The 16,083-nt window shown below is 39.2% G+C and overlaps 2 annotated features.

Moving 5' to 3' along the window:
• Window positions 672-761: an enhancer, noted in NCBI's record as "active region_15619". NCBI's record gives its function as "activates an Ori minimal core promoter by ATAC-STARR-seq in GM12878 lymphoblastoid cells {active_cell/tissue: GM12878}" and the evidence as "EXISTENCE:reporter gene assay evidence [ECO:0000049][PMID:35858748]".
• Window positions 1,072-1,619: an enhancer, noted in NCBI's record as "H3K4me1 hESC enhancer chr2:40065678-40066225 (GRCh37/hg19 assembly coordinates)". NCBI's record gives its function as "activates a minimal SCP1, AML or CMV promoter by ChIP-STARR-seq in primed H9 embryonic stem cells {active_cell/tissue: H9 hESC(primed)}" and the evidence as "EXISTENCE:reporter gene assay evidence [ECO:0000049][PMID:30033119]".

Here is a 16,083-nt window from a genome sequence, read left to right as displayed (position 1 = left end):
TCGATCCTTACCTTGAATATAAGTGAATTCATTCTCCAATTAAAAGGCACAGAGTGAGGTTCCAGTTTAAGATGACTGACTAGAACCAGGTAGTAGGCACCTCTTTCACCGGGAGAAACCAAAATAGGGAGTAAATACTAACACTTCAAGAAGTTAGTCAAAGAGAGCACCCTGAAATTCACTAGAGAAATGATGGCACCTATGGAAAGCTAAAAGGGCAAAGCCAAGCAGCCACCAAGCTGGGACTGGTGCGGAGCCAGGAGAGACTTGCTAATATGAAGAAGGGTGAGTGAGTGAGAGCCCCCTGGGGATCCACACCTCCACCATGAACCTTTAAAATCCTAGTCACACATACACACACACACACACACACACACACGAGAGCTACCGGGAGACTGTGCAGAGGCACCAACCAAAAGCCACATGGATTCCCATAGGCTTTTGATTCCTGAGCAACCCAGCACCAGCTGCCACTGCCCTGCAAATCCGGAAGGCCAAGCACTTTCACACATCCCCAGGATAGATACTGTGGCCAGACTACCTGCCACATGACTTCCTGCCTCCACTGTGCCTTGCCAAATAAGGTTTACCTGCTTCAGGCCCCCAGTGTACCCACCCCAGCCCTACCTGAACACTGCAGCCATGGCCCAGTGTTCCTCTGAGAACCCAACTCCCGGAAGTCACTGAGAGGCGCTTTGCAGTCACCAGTGCCACTGTCTCCACCCCTGCCACTCCTGGGCCAGGAAGAGAATAGGGAGGCTGGGCACTGTCATGCATCTCCAGCACAGATGCTGCAGCTGAGATATGGAGGAGCAGTGGGCAGACTCTGCACCCCACAACTCCACACCTCTGCTGCTCCCTGCCATATGAGACTTGCTGGCTTCAGACCCCCAGTGCATCCACCTGGTCCCTGCATGAATACTGTAGCCATGGCTCAGTGTTAATCTGAAAGCCCTACTCCCAGAGGTCACTTACAAGCCCTTTACAGCCACCACCCCCTACTGCCCCTTCCTTTGCTTCCCCCAGGCCAGGGAGGAAGCAGAGAGGGCTGGCACCTTTGCATGCCCCTAACAGTGAAATCCAGTGTTGTTTCTGCAGGAGGGAAGTGCAAACGTGCCACATGCCCCATGGCTGTGAGTCTCCATTGCCCCAGCTGAAGGGACCTGCCCTTCTCAGTGAAAGGTTTACAGCACAGCCACCCTGCCCCCATCTGAACATTTCAGCTGCGGCCCAGGGCCCTTCTGAGAGCCCAACCCCCACAGGCTTGTGATCTGCCTCAGGCTCCCACCACCTTGGCATTCTGCCTGTCCCTGCCTGAGAGTTCTGTGGGTGACCCAAGGACCAGCCCACCCCTCCTCATCACAGACAGCACCTGAACTCAGGGCTGGCCTGACCCCAGTCCAGCCCCTTGGAGACTCATGCATGCCATCCAGTGGACCATCTTGGGGCCTGGGCCTGGGGAACTACCTAGTCCAGTCCAACACTGCTGGCACCTGACCACTCCCCCAAGGGCCTGAGGTTGGGCTGATCCAATCAGCCAATACGCCCACAGCTGACGCTCATCACACAGGCCAGAAGACAGAGTCCCCTCCCCTCCACATGATGTAGCAATTTTACCACGTTAGAGAATAGGTGAGCCATAAAGATGTCTGTATTGGGCTGAGTGAAGAGGTTCAACCCCAAAACCACTCCCTTGGAGAGTCGAAACAGAGGCACTTGTCATGGCTCTGAAGATAGACAACAGTGTGTGTCTGAACTGACATTCACAAGGCCAAGAACAGGGGCGTGAAAAGCAAACAGATCATGTTTCTTCCTATTTAGGACATGGAGCTGGTGCAACCTCCTCATGCCCCACAGAGAACTTCAGCACATTTTACCAGCAGCCCCTCTAGTCACCCTCATTAGGCCTGGTGCCTGTGCTCATCACTGGGGTATTCATAAACAACCCAGGGGGTTCAGCTCTGTCTATTCCCCTGCTGAACAGGAAGCTTAGGACTCTGGGCACTCCACTGTCCAGCCCACCACCTGAAACAACAGATAGCACCTGACGGTAAACAAAGATCAAGTACATACCCATGTACATACTTTGTGCTATAGCTGGCTCTTACTCGTAAGTGCCATCTACCGGCCGCAGGTCAAACTGCACAGGCCAATATAAAAGCTGCAGACAGAAGTGCACGGGGTAACAGAAGCAAAGCCAAAGGACCTCACCCAACATACTCTACAATCACAACCCCAGGGTTGGGAGGAAAAATATAGGGAAATTCTAAAAATCCCATCTGAATGAAAAGAATGTCAAAAATAAGAAGTGGCAGGCTCTCCAGATGGGAAGAAATTAGCATAAGAATTATGGCATCACAAAAAAATTTGAATGTTGTGACACCACCAAAGGATCACGCTAGCTCTCTAGAAATGGCCGTTAACCAAAATGGAAACTCAGAAATGATATATAAAGAATTCAAAGTATGGATTACGAGGAAGCTCAAGGAGATCCAAGACGAGGTTGAAAACCAACACAAAGAAGCTACGAAAGCAAGCCAGGAAATGAAGAAAGAGATAAATGTCTTGTTTTTAAAAATCAGAACGTCTAGAAGTGAAATATCATTTAAGGAATTTCAAAATAAATAGAAAACATTAACAATAGACTAGATAAAGCAGAAGAAAGAATTTCAGAGCTTGAAAACCAGTATTTAAAACTAACATAGTCAGGCTGGGCACAGTGGCTCACGTCTGTAATCCCAGCACCTTGGGAGGCTGAGGTGGAGGGATCATCTGAGGTCAGGAGTTCAAGACCACCCTGGCCAACATAGCAAAACTTCGTCTCTACTAAAAATACAAAAATTACCTGAGTGTGGTGGTGCAAGTCTGTAATTTTGGCTACTCAGGAGGCTGAGGCATGAGAATTGCTTGAACCCAGGAGGCAGAGGTTGCAGCGAGCCAAGATCATGCCACTGCACTCCAGCTTGGGTGACAGAGTGAGTGAGACTCCGTCTTAAAAAAAAAAAAAAAAAAGAAAACAAAAGAAAAGAAAAAAATTCAGAGAATATATGTGAGATACTGTACAAGATGAACACCACCAAGGTATATAGTCATCAGACAATCCAAAGTCAACACTAGAGAAAAGTCCTTAAAGGGAGCTAGAGAAAAAGGTCAAATCATCTATAAAAGACAAACAATCAGATTAACAATAGACTCCTTAGCAGAAACCCTAAAAGAGTTTCGGGGCCTATTTTTAGCATCCTTAAGCTCAAAAACACCAGTCAAGAATTTTATATCCTGCCAAACTAAGCTTAATAAATAAAGGGGAAATAAAGCCTTTCTTAGATAAGCAAACGCTAAGAGAATTTGTCACCATGAGACCAGTGCTACAAGAGATGCTCAGACGAGTTCTACACATGGAAACAGAAAATGATACTTGCATCAGAAAAAGGACACATAAGTAAAATGCTCACAGAGCCTATAAATCAAATACACAATCAAAACTCCAAAACTAGCTAACAATACTACAACAATAACAGAACCTCACATATCAATATTAACCTTGAATGTAAATGGCCTAAATGCCCTACTTAAACATAGAGTGGCAAATTGGATTTAAAAAAATACAAGACACAACCATCTGTTGTCTACGTGAGATGCACCTAAAGACAAATTCAGACTCAAAGTAAAAGGGTGGAAAAATATATACAACACAAACGGAAAATGAAAGTGAGTAGGAATAGACATACTCATATTAGATAAAACTAATAAACTTAAAATGGGAGCAGTTACAAAAGACAAAGTCATTATATAATAATAAAGGATTCAACACAACAAGATTTAGCAATTCTAAATATATATCAACCCAATACCAGAGCACCCAGATTCATAAAATAAACACTAATAAACCTAAGAAAGCAGATTGATAGCAATAGAATAATAGTGAGGATTTCAATACCCCCTGACATTAACAGACAGATCATAAAGACAGACAATCAACAAAGAAACTCTGGACTTAAACTGGCCAATAGACCAAAGAGACCTGATAGACATTTATTCTACCAAACAACTGCAGAACATACATTTTTCTCACCTACACGTGAAAGATTCTCCATAATCAACCATATGCTTCTCCTTAAAGCAAGTCTCAATAAATTCAAAAAAATCAAAATCATATAAAGTGTCTTGTCAGACTACAGGATAATAAAATTAGAAATCAATACCAAGAGGAATTCTCAAAACTATACAAGTACACGTAAACTAAACAATTTGTTTCTGAACGAGTTTTGGGTAAACAATAAAATTAAGGCAAAAATTAAAAATTATTTGAAATGAATGAAAACGGAGATACAACATAAAACAACCTCTGGCATAGAGCAAAAGCAGTGCTTAAAGAAAAGTTGATAACACTAAATGCCTCCATTGAAAAGATAGAGAGATCTCAAATTAACAATCTACCATCACACCTTAAGGAACTTGAAAAACAATAACAAACCAAACTCAAAGCTAGCAGAAGAAAAGAAATAACAAAGATCAGAGCAGAACTAAATGAGATTGAGACAAAAAAAAACAATTTAAAAGATCAATAAAACAAAAAGTTGGTTTTTTGAAAAGATAAACAAAATTGACAGACCACTAGACTAACCAAGAAAAAAGAGAGAAGATTCAAATAAGCACAATCAGAAATGATAAACATGACATTGCAACTGATATCAGATAGATACAAAAGATCAGAACACCTCAGTGCACACAAACTAGAAAACCTAGAGGAAATGGATAAATTTCTAGATTCATACAACTTCCTGAGATTAAACCAGGAAGAAATAGAAACACAGAATAGACCAATAGCAAGGATTAAATTTGAATTGATAATAAAAAATCCTCCAACAAAAAAAAGTGTAGGACTGGAAGGATAAAGAACTGAATCTTACCAGATGTATGAAGAAGAGCTGGTACCAATGTTACTGAAACTATTCTAAAAAATCAAAGAGGAAGAATCCTACCTAACTCATTCTATGATTCCAGTATGATCCTTATATCAAAACCATGTAAGGACATCAAACCAGAAAACTACAATATCACTGATGAACATAGATGTAAAAATTCTCAACAAAATAGTAGCAGACTGGATCCAACAACACAATAAAAAAAAAATTCATCATGATCAAGTAGGCTTTATTCCAGGGATGCAAAGTTGGTTCAACATATGCAAGTCAATAAATGTCATTTCACCACATAAAGAGAACAAAAGCAAAAATTGCATTATCTCAATAGTTACAGAATATGCATTTGATTAAATCCAATATCCCTTCAGCATAAACACCCTCAACAACCTAGGCATAGAAAGAACATATCTCAAAATAATCATAATCATGAGAGCCATACATGATAAACCCACAGCCAACATCATACTGAATGCGGAAAAGCATTTCCCCTAAGACCTGGCACAAGAGGAGAATGTTGACTCTCACTACTGCTATTCAACTGGAAGTACTAGAAGTCCTAGCCAGAGTGGTCAGGCAGGAGAAAGAAATAAAAGGCTTCCAAATTGGAAAAGAGGAAGTCAAATTATATCTGCTCACTGATGACGTTTGTATACCTAGAAAACCCTGAAGACTCCTCCAGAAGACTCCTAGACTTGACAAGTGACTCCAGTAAAGTCTCAGGATACAAACTCAACATACAAAAATTAGTAGCATTTCTATAAACCAAAAACATTCAAGCTGAGAACCAAATATTTCATGCAAATGAACCAAAAAGAGCAGAGGTAGCTATATTTGTATCATATAAAATATGCTTTAAGTCAAAAACTGGAAAATGAGACACAAAGGTCATTATATAATGATAAAGGAGTCAGTTTATAAAGAGGATATGACAATTGTACATATATATGCATCTGACATTGGAGCACCTAAATAAATAAAGCAAACATTAATAGATCTCTAAGGAGAGATAGACTGTGATACAGAAATAGGAAGGAAGTTCTATACTTTACTTTCAGCAACAAACATATCACCCAGACAGAAAATCAGTAAGGAAATGTCAGCCTTAAACTACACTTTAGACAAAATGGACCTAATAGACTTATACAGAACATTCTAACAGCAATAGAGTACACATTCATCTCAAGTATACATGGAATATTCTTGAGGGCAGGTCATATGTTAGGCCCTAAAATAAGCCCTAACAAACTTAACAAATCATATCAAGTCTCTTATCTGACCAAAATGGCATGAAACTAAAAACCAATCATGGGGAATTTTTTGAAAATTCACACAAACATGGAAGTTAAACAACATGCTCCTAAACAACCAACGGGTCAATGAATGAATGAAGAAAAAAAAACTTTAAATATCTTGAAACGAACAAAAGTGGAAACAGAACATACCAAAACTTATGGGTTGCAGCAAAAACAGTTCTGAAAGGAAAAGTTATAGCAATGAATGCCTACAGCAAAAAAATTTTAAATCTCAAATAAATAACAATGTTATACACCAAGAATCAAGAAAAAGAAGAACAAACGATGTTCAAAGTTAGAAGAAAGGAGGAAATAAACATCAGAGCAAAAAATAAATGAAATAGAGACTAAGAAAAACAGAGAAGATCAATAAAACATAGTTGATTTTTTGAAAAGATAAGCAAAAGCAATAAAACTTTAGCTAGACTAACTCCAAAAAGAGAGAAAACTTAATAAATACAATCAGAAATTAATCAGGAAGTATTATGACTGATACCATCATAAGAGACTACTGTGAACAATTATACAACAACTAATTAAACATTCTAGAGGAAATGGATAAATTCCTAAACACTTACAACCTACCAATAACAAATCATGAAGAAATTGAAAATATGAATAAACCAATAATGAGTAAGGGGATTTAATCAGTAATAAAAAGTCTACCATCAAAGCAAAGCCCAAGACATGATGGCTTCACTGCTGAATTCTACCAAGCATTTAAAGAACTAATGTCAATTCTTCACAAACTCTTCCAAAAAAATTGAAGAGGAAGAAATACTTCCAAACTCATTTTATAAGGCCAGCATTACCCCCAAAGTCAGAGAAGGACACTCTAATTAAAAACAAAATTACGCACCAATCTTCCTGTTGAAGATGGAGGTGCAAATTCTCAACAAAATACCAGCAAACTAATCCAACAACTTATTAAAAGGATCATTCACTATGATCAAGTAGGATTTATTCTAAGGATGTAAGGACAGTTCAACATATGCAAATCTATAAATGTGATATATCACATTAACAGAATGAAAGACAAAAACCACATGATCATCTTAGTAAATGCAGAAAAAGCATTTGACAAAATCTAACAAACTTTTATGATAAAAATTCTCAACAAATTAGGTGTAGAAGAAATGTACCTCAACATAATAAAGGCTATATATGACAAACTCACAGCTAGCATCATACTCAATGGTGAAAAGTTGAAAGCTTTTCCTCTAAGTTCAGAAACAAGACTAGAATAACCTCTCTTGCCACTTCTATTGAATACAGAACTGGAAGCTCTAGGCAGAGCAATTTGGCAAGAGAAAGAGAGAAAAAGCAACAAAGTGGAAAGGAAAAAGCAACAAAGTGAAAGCAGGAATTTCCCTGTTTGCAAATGACAGGATCTCACATATAGAAATCCCTAAATACTCCACCAAAAGAAAAGACTGCTAAAACTGATTTAAGTAAATCAGTAAAATTGTAGAATACAAAAACCAATTTACAAAAATCAGTAGCACCTCTGCACACTAACAATGAACTAACTCCCCCAAAAAACAAATCAAGAAAACAATCCCATTTACAATACCTCCAAAAAAGTAAAATATTTAAAAGTAAATTTAACCAAAAGAGATGAAATATCTGCACATTGAAAACTATAAAACATTCATGAAAGAAATTGAAGAAGACACAAACAAATGGAAAGATATTCCATGTTCATGAATTGAAAGAAATAATATTGTTAAAATGTGCATACTACCCAAAGCTATCTACAGATTCAATCCAATCCCTACAAAATTCCAATGATGTTTTACACAGCAATAGACAAAACAATCCTAAAATTTGTACGAAACCACAAAAGACTCTCAATAACCAAAGCACTCTTGAGCAAAAACAATAAAGCTGAAGGCATCACACTATGTGACTTCAAAATATATTACAAACCCATAGCAATCAAAACAGCATGCTTCTGGCATAAAAACAGACATATAAATCAACGGAACAGTCTGGAAATCCCAGAAATAAATCCACACATATACAGTCAATTGATTTTCAACAAAAGTGCCAAGAACATGCAGTGGATAAAGGACATATCTTTAATTAATAATGTTGGAAAAACTGAATATCCACATGCCAAAAAATGAAATTAGACCCCTACTTCATGCCATATATAAAAATCATCCCAAAATTGATTAAAACATAAGATCTGAAACCATGAAATTACTAGAAGAAAACATAGGAGGAAAGCTCTACGAAACTTGGGCAATGATTTTTTTTTGGAAATGAACCCAATAGTACAGGCAACACAAGAAAAAAAAATACACAAGTGGGATTACATCAAACTAAAAATGTCTACACAAGAAATAAAACAGCAAAATGAAGAGACAACCTATGGAATGGTAGAAAATATTTCCAAACCATACATCTGATAAGGGTTTAATATTCAAAATATGTAAGAAACTCAAACAACTCAATAGAACAAAAACAAATAACTCAATTTAAAAATAGGCAAGAGAAGTGGCTGGTAAGATGGCCGAATAGGAACAACTCTGCTCTGCAGCTCCCAGTGAGAACAATCCAGAAGGTGGGTGATTTCTACATTTCCAACTGATGTACCTGGCTCATCTCACTAGGACTTAAGGTTAGACAGTGGGTGTAGTCTATGGAGGGCAAGCAGAGGCTGAGTGGGGTGTCGCCTCACCCAGGAATTGAAAGGGGTCCAGGAACTCCCTCCATGAGGCAAGGGAAGCCACGAGGGACTGTGCCATGAGGGACAGTGTATTCCACCCCAGAAGTCACACTTTTCCCACGGTCCTCACAGCCCGCAGACCAGGTTATTCCCTCGGGTGCCTACACAACCAGGGCCCTGGGTTTCAAGCACAAAACAGGGTAGCCATTAGGGCAAACACCAAGCTAGCAGCAGGAGATTTTTTATCGTATCCCAGTGAGGCCTGGAATGCCAGCGAGACAGAACCATTCACTCACCTGGAAAGGGGGCTAAAGCCCAGTGGTCTAGCTCAGCGGATCCCCCCCTCCACAGAGCCCAGCAAGCTAAGATCCACTGGCCTGAAATTCTTGCTGCCAGCACAGCAGTCTGAAGTTGACCTGGGATGCTCAAGCTTGATGGGGGGAGGGGCGTCCATCATTACTGAGGGTTGAGTAGGCGGTTTTCCCCTGACAGTGTAAACAAAGCTGCCAAGAAGTTCAAACTGGACAGAACCCACCACAGCTCCACAAAGCCACTGTAGCCAGACTGCCTCTCTACATTCCTCCTCTCTGGGCAGGCCACCTCTGAAAGAAAGGCAGCAGCCCCAGTCAGGGGCTTATAGATAAAACTCCCATCTCCCCGGGACAGAGCACTTGGGGGAAGGGGCATCTGTGGGTGCAGCTTCAGCAGACTTAAACGTTCCTGTCTGCTGGCTCTGAAGAGAGCAGCAGATCTCCCAGCACAGCACTCCAGCTCTCCTAAGGGACAGACTGCCTCCTCAAGTGTGTCCCTGAACCCTGTGCCTCCTGACTGGGAGACACCTCCCAGCAGGGATCGACAGACACCTCATACAGGAGAGCTCTGGCTGGCATTTGGCGGGTGCCCTCTGGGACAAAGCTTCCAGAGGAAAGAACAGGCAGCAATCTTTGCTGTTCTCAGCCTCTGCTGGTGATACCCATTTAAACACAGTCTGGAGGGGGCCTCCAGCAAACTCCAGCAGACCTGCAGAGGAGAGGCCTGACTGTTAGAAGGAAAACTAACAAACAGAAAGGAATAGCATCAACATCCACAAAAAGGACATCCACACAAAAACCCCATCCAAAGGTCACCAACATCAAAGACCAAAGATAGATAAATCCATGAAGATGAGGAAAAAACAGCGCAAAAGGGCTGAAAATTCCAAAAACCAGAATGCCTCTACTCCTCCCAAGGATCACAACTCCATGCCAGCAAGGGAACAAAACTGGACGGAGAATGAATTTGACCAACTGACAGAAGTAGGTTTCAGAAGGTGGGTAACAACAAACCCCTCTGAGCTAAAGGAGCATGGTCTAAGCCATTGCAAGGAAGCTAAGAACCTTGAAAAAAGATTAGAGGAATTGCTATCTAGAATAACCAATTTAGAGAAGAATATAAATGATCTGATGGAGCTGAAAAACACAGCTTGAGAACTTTGTGAGGCATACACAAGATTCAATAGCCAAATCGATCAAGCAGAAGAAAGGATATGAGAATTGAAGTTCAACTTAATGAAATAAAATCTGAACATTAAAGTAGAGATAAAAGAATGAAAAGGAACAAACAAAGCCTCCAAGAAATATGGGACAATGTGAAAAGACCAAACCTACGTTTCAATGGTGTACCTGAAAGTCATGAAGAGAATGGAACCAAGTTGGAAAACACTCTTCAGGATATTATCCAGGAAAACTTCCCCAACCTAGCAAGAGAGCCCAACACTAAAATTCAGGATACACAGAGAACACTACAAAGATACTCCTCAAGAAGACCAACCCCAAGACACATAATCATCAGATTCACCAAGGTTGAAAGGAAGGAAAAAATGTTAAGAGCAGCCAGAGAAAAGGGTCAGGTTACCCACAATAGGAAACCCATCAGACTAACAGCTGATCTCTCTGCAGAAAACCTACAAGCCAGAAGAGAGTAGGGCCAATACTCAACATTCTTAAACAAAAGAATTTTTAACCCAAAATTTCATATCCAGTCAAACTAAGCTTCATAAGCAAAGGAGAAATAAAATCTCTTATGGACAAGCAAATGCTGAGAGATTTTGTCACCATCAGGCCTGCCTTACAAGAGCTCCTGAGGAAGCACTAAATATAAAAAGGAAAAACTGGTACCAACCACTGCAAAAACATACCAAATTGTAAAGACCATCAACACCATGAAGAAATGGCATCAAATAAAGGGCAAAATAACCAACTAACATCATAATGACAGGATCAAATTCACACATAACAATATTAACCTTAAATGTAAATGGGCTAAATGCCCCAATTAAAAAACACAGACTGGCAAATTGGAAAGAGTCAAGACAAATTGGTGTGCTGTATTCAGGAGATCCATCTCATATGCAAAGACACATATAGGCTCAAAATAAAGGGATGGAGGAATACTTACCAAGTAAATGGAGAGCAAAAAAAAAGCAGGGGTTGCAATTCTTGTCTCTGATAAAACAGACTTTAAACCAACAGAGATCAAAAAAGACAAAGAAGGGCATTATATAATGGTAAAGGGATCAATGCAACAAAAAGAGTTAACTATCCTAAATATATATGCACCCAATACAGGAGCACCCAGATTCATAAAGCAAGTTCTTAGAGACCTACAAAGAGACTTAGACTCCCACACAATAACAGTGGGAGACTTTAACACTCCACTGTCAATATTAGACATATCAACGAGACAGAATAATAACAAGGATATGCAGGACTTGAACTCAGCTCTGGACCAAGGGGACCTAATAGACATCTACAGAACTCTCCACCCCAAATCAACAGAATATACATTCTTCTCAGCACCACATGGCACTTATTCTAAAATTGAACACATAATTGGAAGTAAAACACTGCTCGGCAAATGCAAAAGAATGGAAATCATAACAGTCTCTCAGACCACAGTGCAATCAAATTAGAACTCAGGATTTAAAAACTCACTCAAAACCACACAACTACATGGCACCTGAACACCTGCTCCTGAATGACTACTGGGTAAATAACTAAATTAAGGCAGAAATAAATAAGTTCTTTGAAACCAATGAGAACAAAGACAAAATGTACCTGAATCTCTGGCGCACAGCTAAAGTAGTGTTTAGAGGGAAATTTATAGCACTAAATGCCCACAGGAGAAACGAGGAATGATCTAAAATTGACAGCCTACCATCACAATTAAAAGAACTAGAGAAGCAAGAGCAAACAAATTCAAAAGCTAGCAGAAAATAAGAAATAAGTAAGATCAGAGCAGAACTGAAGGAGATGCAGACATGAAAAACCCTTCAAAAAAAAATTAATAAATCCAGGAGCTGGTTTTTTGAAAAGATAAGCAAAATAGATGGACCACTAGCCAGACTAATTAAGAAGGAAAGAGAGAAGAATCAAGTAGAGACAATAAAAAATGATGAAGGGGATATCACCACTGATCTCACAGAAACACCTACTACCATCAGAGAATACTATAAACACCTCTATGCAAATAAACTAAAAAATCTAGAAGAAATATATAAATTCCTGGACACATACACCCACCCAAGGTTAAACCAGGAAGAAGTCGAATCCCTGAATAGACCAATAACAAGTTCTGAAATTGAGGCAGTAATTAATAGCCTACCAACCAAAAAAAGCCCATGACCAGATGGATTCACAGCCTAATTCTATCAGAGATATGAAGGGGAGCTGGTACCATTCCTTCTGAAACTATTCCAATCAATAAAAAAAAAAAAAAAAGGGATTCCTCCCTAACTCATTTTATGAGGCCAGCATCATTCTGATAACAAAACCTGGCAGAAACACAACAGAAAAAGAAAATTTCAGGCCAATATTCCTGATGACCATCGATGCAAAACTCCTCAATAAAATACTGGCAAACCGAGTCCAGCAGCACATTAAAAAGTTTATCCACCACAGTTAAGTCGGCTTCATCCCTGGGATGCAAGGCTGGTTCAACACATGCAAATCAATAAACATAATTTATCACATAAACAGAACCAATGACAAAAACCACATGATTATCTCAATAAGATGCAGAAAAGGCCTTCAATAAAATTCAACACTCCTTCATGCTAAAAACTCTTGATAAATTAGTTATTGATGGAACTTATCTCAAAATAATTAGAACTATTTCTGACAAACCCACAGCCAACATCATAGTGATTCGACAAAATCTGTAAGCATTCCCTTTGAAAACCGGCACAAGACAAGAATGCCCTCTCTCACCACTCCTCTTCAACATAGTGTTGGAAGTTCTGACCAGGGCAATCAGGCAAGAGAAAGAAATAAAGCATATTCAAATAGGAAGAGAGGAAGTCAATTTGTCTCTGTTTGTAGATGACGTGATTGTATATTTAGAAAACCCCATCGTCTCAGCCCAAAATCTCCTTAAGCTGATAAGCAACTTCAGCAGTCTCAGGATACAAAATTAATGTGCAAAATCACAAGCATTCCTATACACCAACAATAGACAAACAGAGAGCCAGATCATGAGTGAACTCCCATCCACAATTGCTACAAAGAGAATAAAATACCTAGGAATACAACTTACAAGGGATGAGAAGAACCACTTCAAGGAGAACTACAAACCACTGCTCAAGGAAATAAGAGTGGACACAAACAAATGGAAAAACATTTCATGCTCATGAATAGGAAGAATCAATATTATGAAAATGGCTATACCGTCCAAAGTAATTTACAGATTCAATGATATCCCCATCAAGTTAGCATTGACTTTCATCACAGAATTAGAAAAAATTATTTTAAATTTCATATGGAACCAAAAAAGAGCCTATGTAGTCAAGACAATCCTAAGCAAAAAGAACAAAGCTGGAGGCATCGTGCTACCTGACTTCAAACTATACTACAAGGCTACAGTAACCAAAACATCATGGTATTGGTAGCAAAACAGATATATAGACCAATGGAACAGAGCAGAGGCCTCAGAAATAACACCACACATCTACAAACCTGACAAAAACAAGCAATGGGGAAAGGTTTCCCTATTTAATAAATGGTGTTGGGAAAAATGGCTAGCCATATGCAGAAAACAGAAACTGGACCCCTTCCTTATACCTTATACAAAAATTAACTCAGGATGGATTAAAGCCTTAAATATAAGACCTAAAACCATAAAAACCCTAGAAGAAAACCTAGGAAACAACATTCAGGATACAGGCATGGGCAAAGACTTCGTGACTAAAACACCAAAAGCAATTGCAACAAAAGCCAAAATTGACAAATGGGATATAATTAAACTAAAGAGCTTCTGCACCACAAAAGAACCTATCATCAGAATGAACAGGCCACCTACAGAATAGGAGAAAATTTTTGCAATCTAGCCATCTGACAAAAGGCTAATATCCAGAATCTACAAGGAACTTAAACAAATTTACTAGAAAAAAGAAACCCCCCTGTCAAAAAGTGGGCAAAGGATATGAGCAGACACTTCTCAAAAGAAGACATTTATGTGGCCAAGAAATATATGGCAAAAAGCTCACCGTCACTGGTCATTAGAGAAATGCAAATCAAAACCACTATGAGATACCATCTCACACCAGTTAGAATGGCGATCATTAAAAAGTCAGGAAACAACAGATGCTGGAGAGGATGTGGAGTAATTGGAAAACTTTTACACTGTTGGTGGGAGTGTAAATTAGTTCAACCATTGTGGAAGACAGTGCGGCGATTCCTCAAGGATCTAGAACCAGAAATACCATTTGATCCAGCAATCCCATTACTGGGTATATACTTAAAGGATTATAAATCATTCTACTATAAAGACACATGCACATGTATGTTTGTTGCAGTACTATTCACAATAGCAAAGACTTGGGACCGACTCAAATGCCCATCAGTGATAGACTGGATAAAGAAAATGTGGCACGTATACACCATGGAATACTATGCAACCATAAAAAAAGCATGAGTTCATGTCATTTGCAGGGACATGGATGAAGCTGGAAACCATCATTATCAGCAAAGTAACACAAGAGCAGAAAACCAAACATTGCATGTTCTCACTCGTTAGTGGGAGTTGAACAATGAGAACACATGGACACGGGGAGGGGAACAACACACATCGGGGCCTGTTGGGGGTGGGGGGCTAAGGGAGGGATAGCATTAGGAGAAATACCTAATGTAGATGACAGGTTGATGGGTGCAGCAAACCACCATGGCACGTGTATACATATGTAACAAACCTGCACGTTCTGCACATGTATCACAGAACTTAAAGTATAATTTTAAAAAAGTAATTATGAAGGAAAAATAAAAAAATAAAATAAAAATAGGCAAAGGACCTAAATAGTCATTTCTCAAAGAGGACATACAAATGGTATGTGAAAAAAATGTTCAACATCACTAATCAGAGAGAAATGCAAATTAAAACCATAATGAGATATCACCTCACACCTGTTAGAATGGCTATTATCAAAAACACTAAGGATAACAAGTGCTGGTGAGGATGTGGAGTAAAGGAATCCCTTGCACACTGTTGTTGGAAATGTAAATTAGTGTAGCCATTATGGAAAATGATATGGAATTTTAATTCCTCACAAAATTAAAAATAGAACCACCGTATCATCCAGCATTACCACTACTGAGTATATATCCAAAGGAAGTGATATCAGTATGTGAAAGAGATATCTGCACTTTCATGTTCACTGCAGCCCTATTCACAACAGCCAAGATATGGGATCAACATAAGTGTCCATCAATAGATAAATAGATAAAGAAAATATGATGTATTTTTACAAAATGAATTACTGCTAAGCCTTAAAAAAGGAGGAAATTCTGTCATGTGTAACAACATGGATGAACCTGGAGGACATTACGTTAAGTGAAATAAGACAAGCATAGAAAGACAAATACCACATGATCTCACTTTTATGTGGAATATAAAAAAGTTGAGCTCATAGGAGTAGAGATAGAAAAATGGTGGCTCCAAGGAGCTGGGGAATTGGATTGGGATTGGAGAGATGTTGGTGAAAGAAAACACAATTTTGGTGCAATAGGAAGAATAAGTTCAAGATACCTATTGTATAACATGGTGACTGTACTTAATAACAATGTATTGTATTCTTGAAATTTGCTGAGAGATTTTTAGTATTCTCACCACAAAACATAAGCACACAAGGTAATGCATATGTTAATTAGCTTGATTTAGATGT

The sequence above is a fragment of the Homo sapiens genome, chromosome 2, assembly GCF_000001405.40.
Source record: "Homo sapiens chromosome 2, GRCh38.p14 Primary Assembly".
Lineage (NCBI taxonomy): Eukaryota > Metazoa > Chordata > Mammalia > Primates > Hominidae > Homo > Homo sapiens.
The sequence above is the reverse complement of the archived record's forward strand: the minus strand, read 5'-3'. Positions and strand labels throughout refer to the sequence as shown.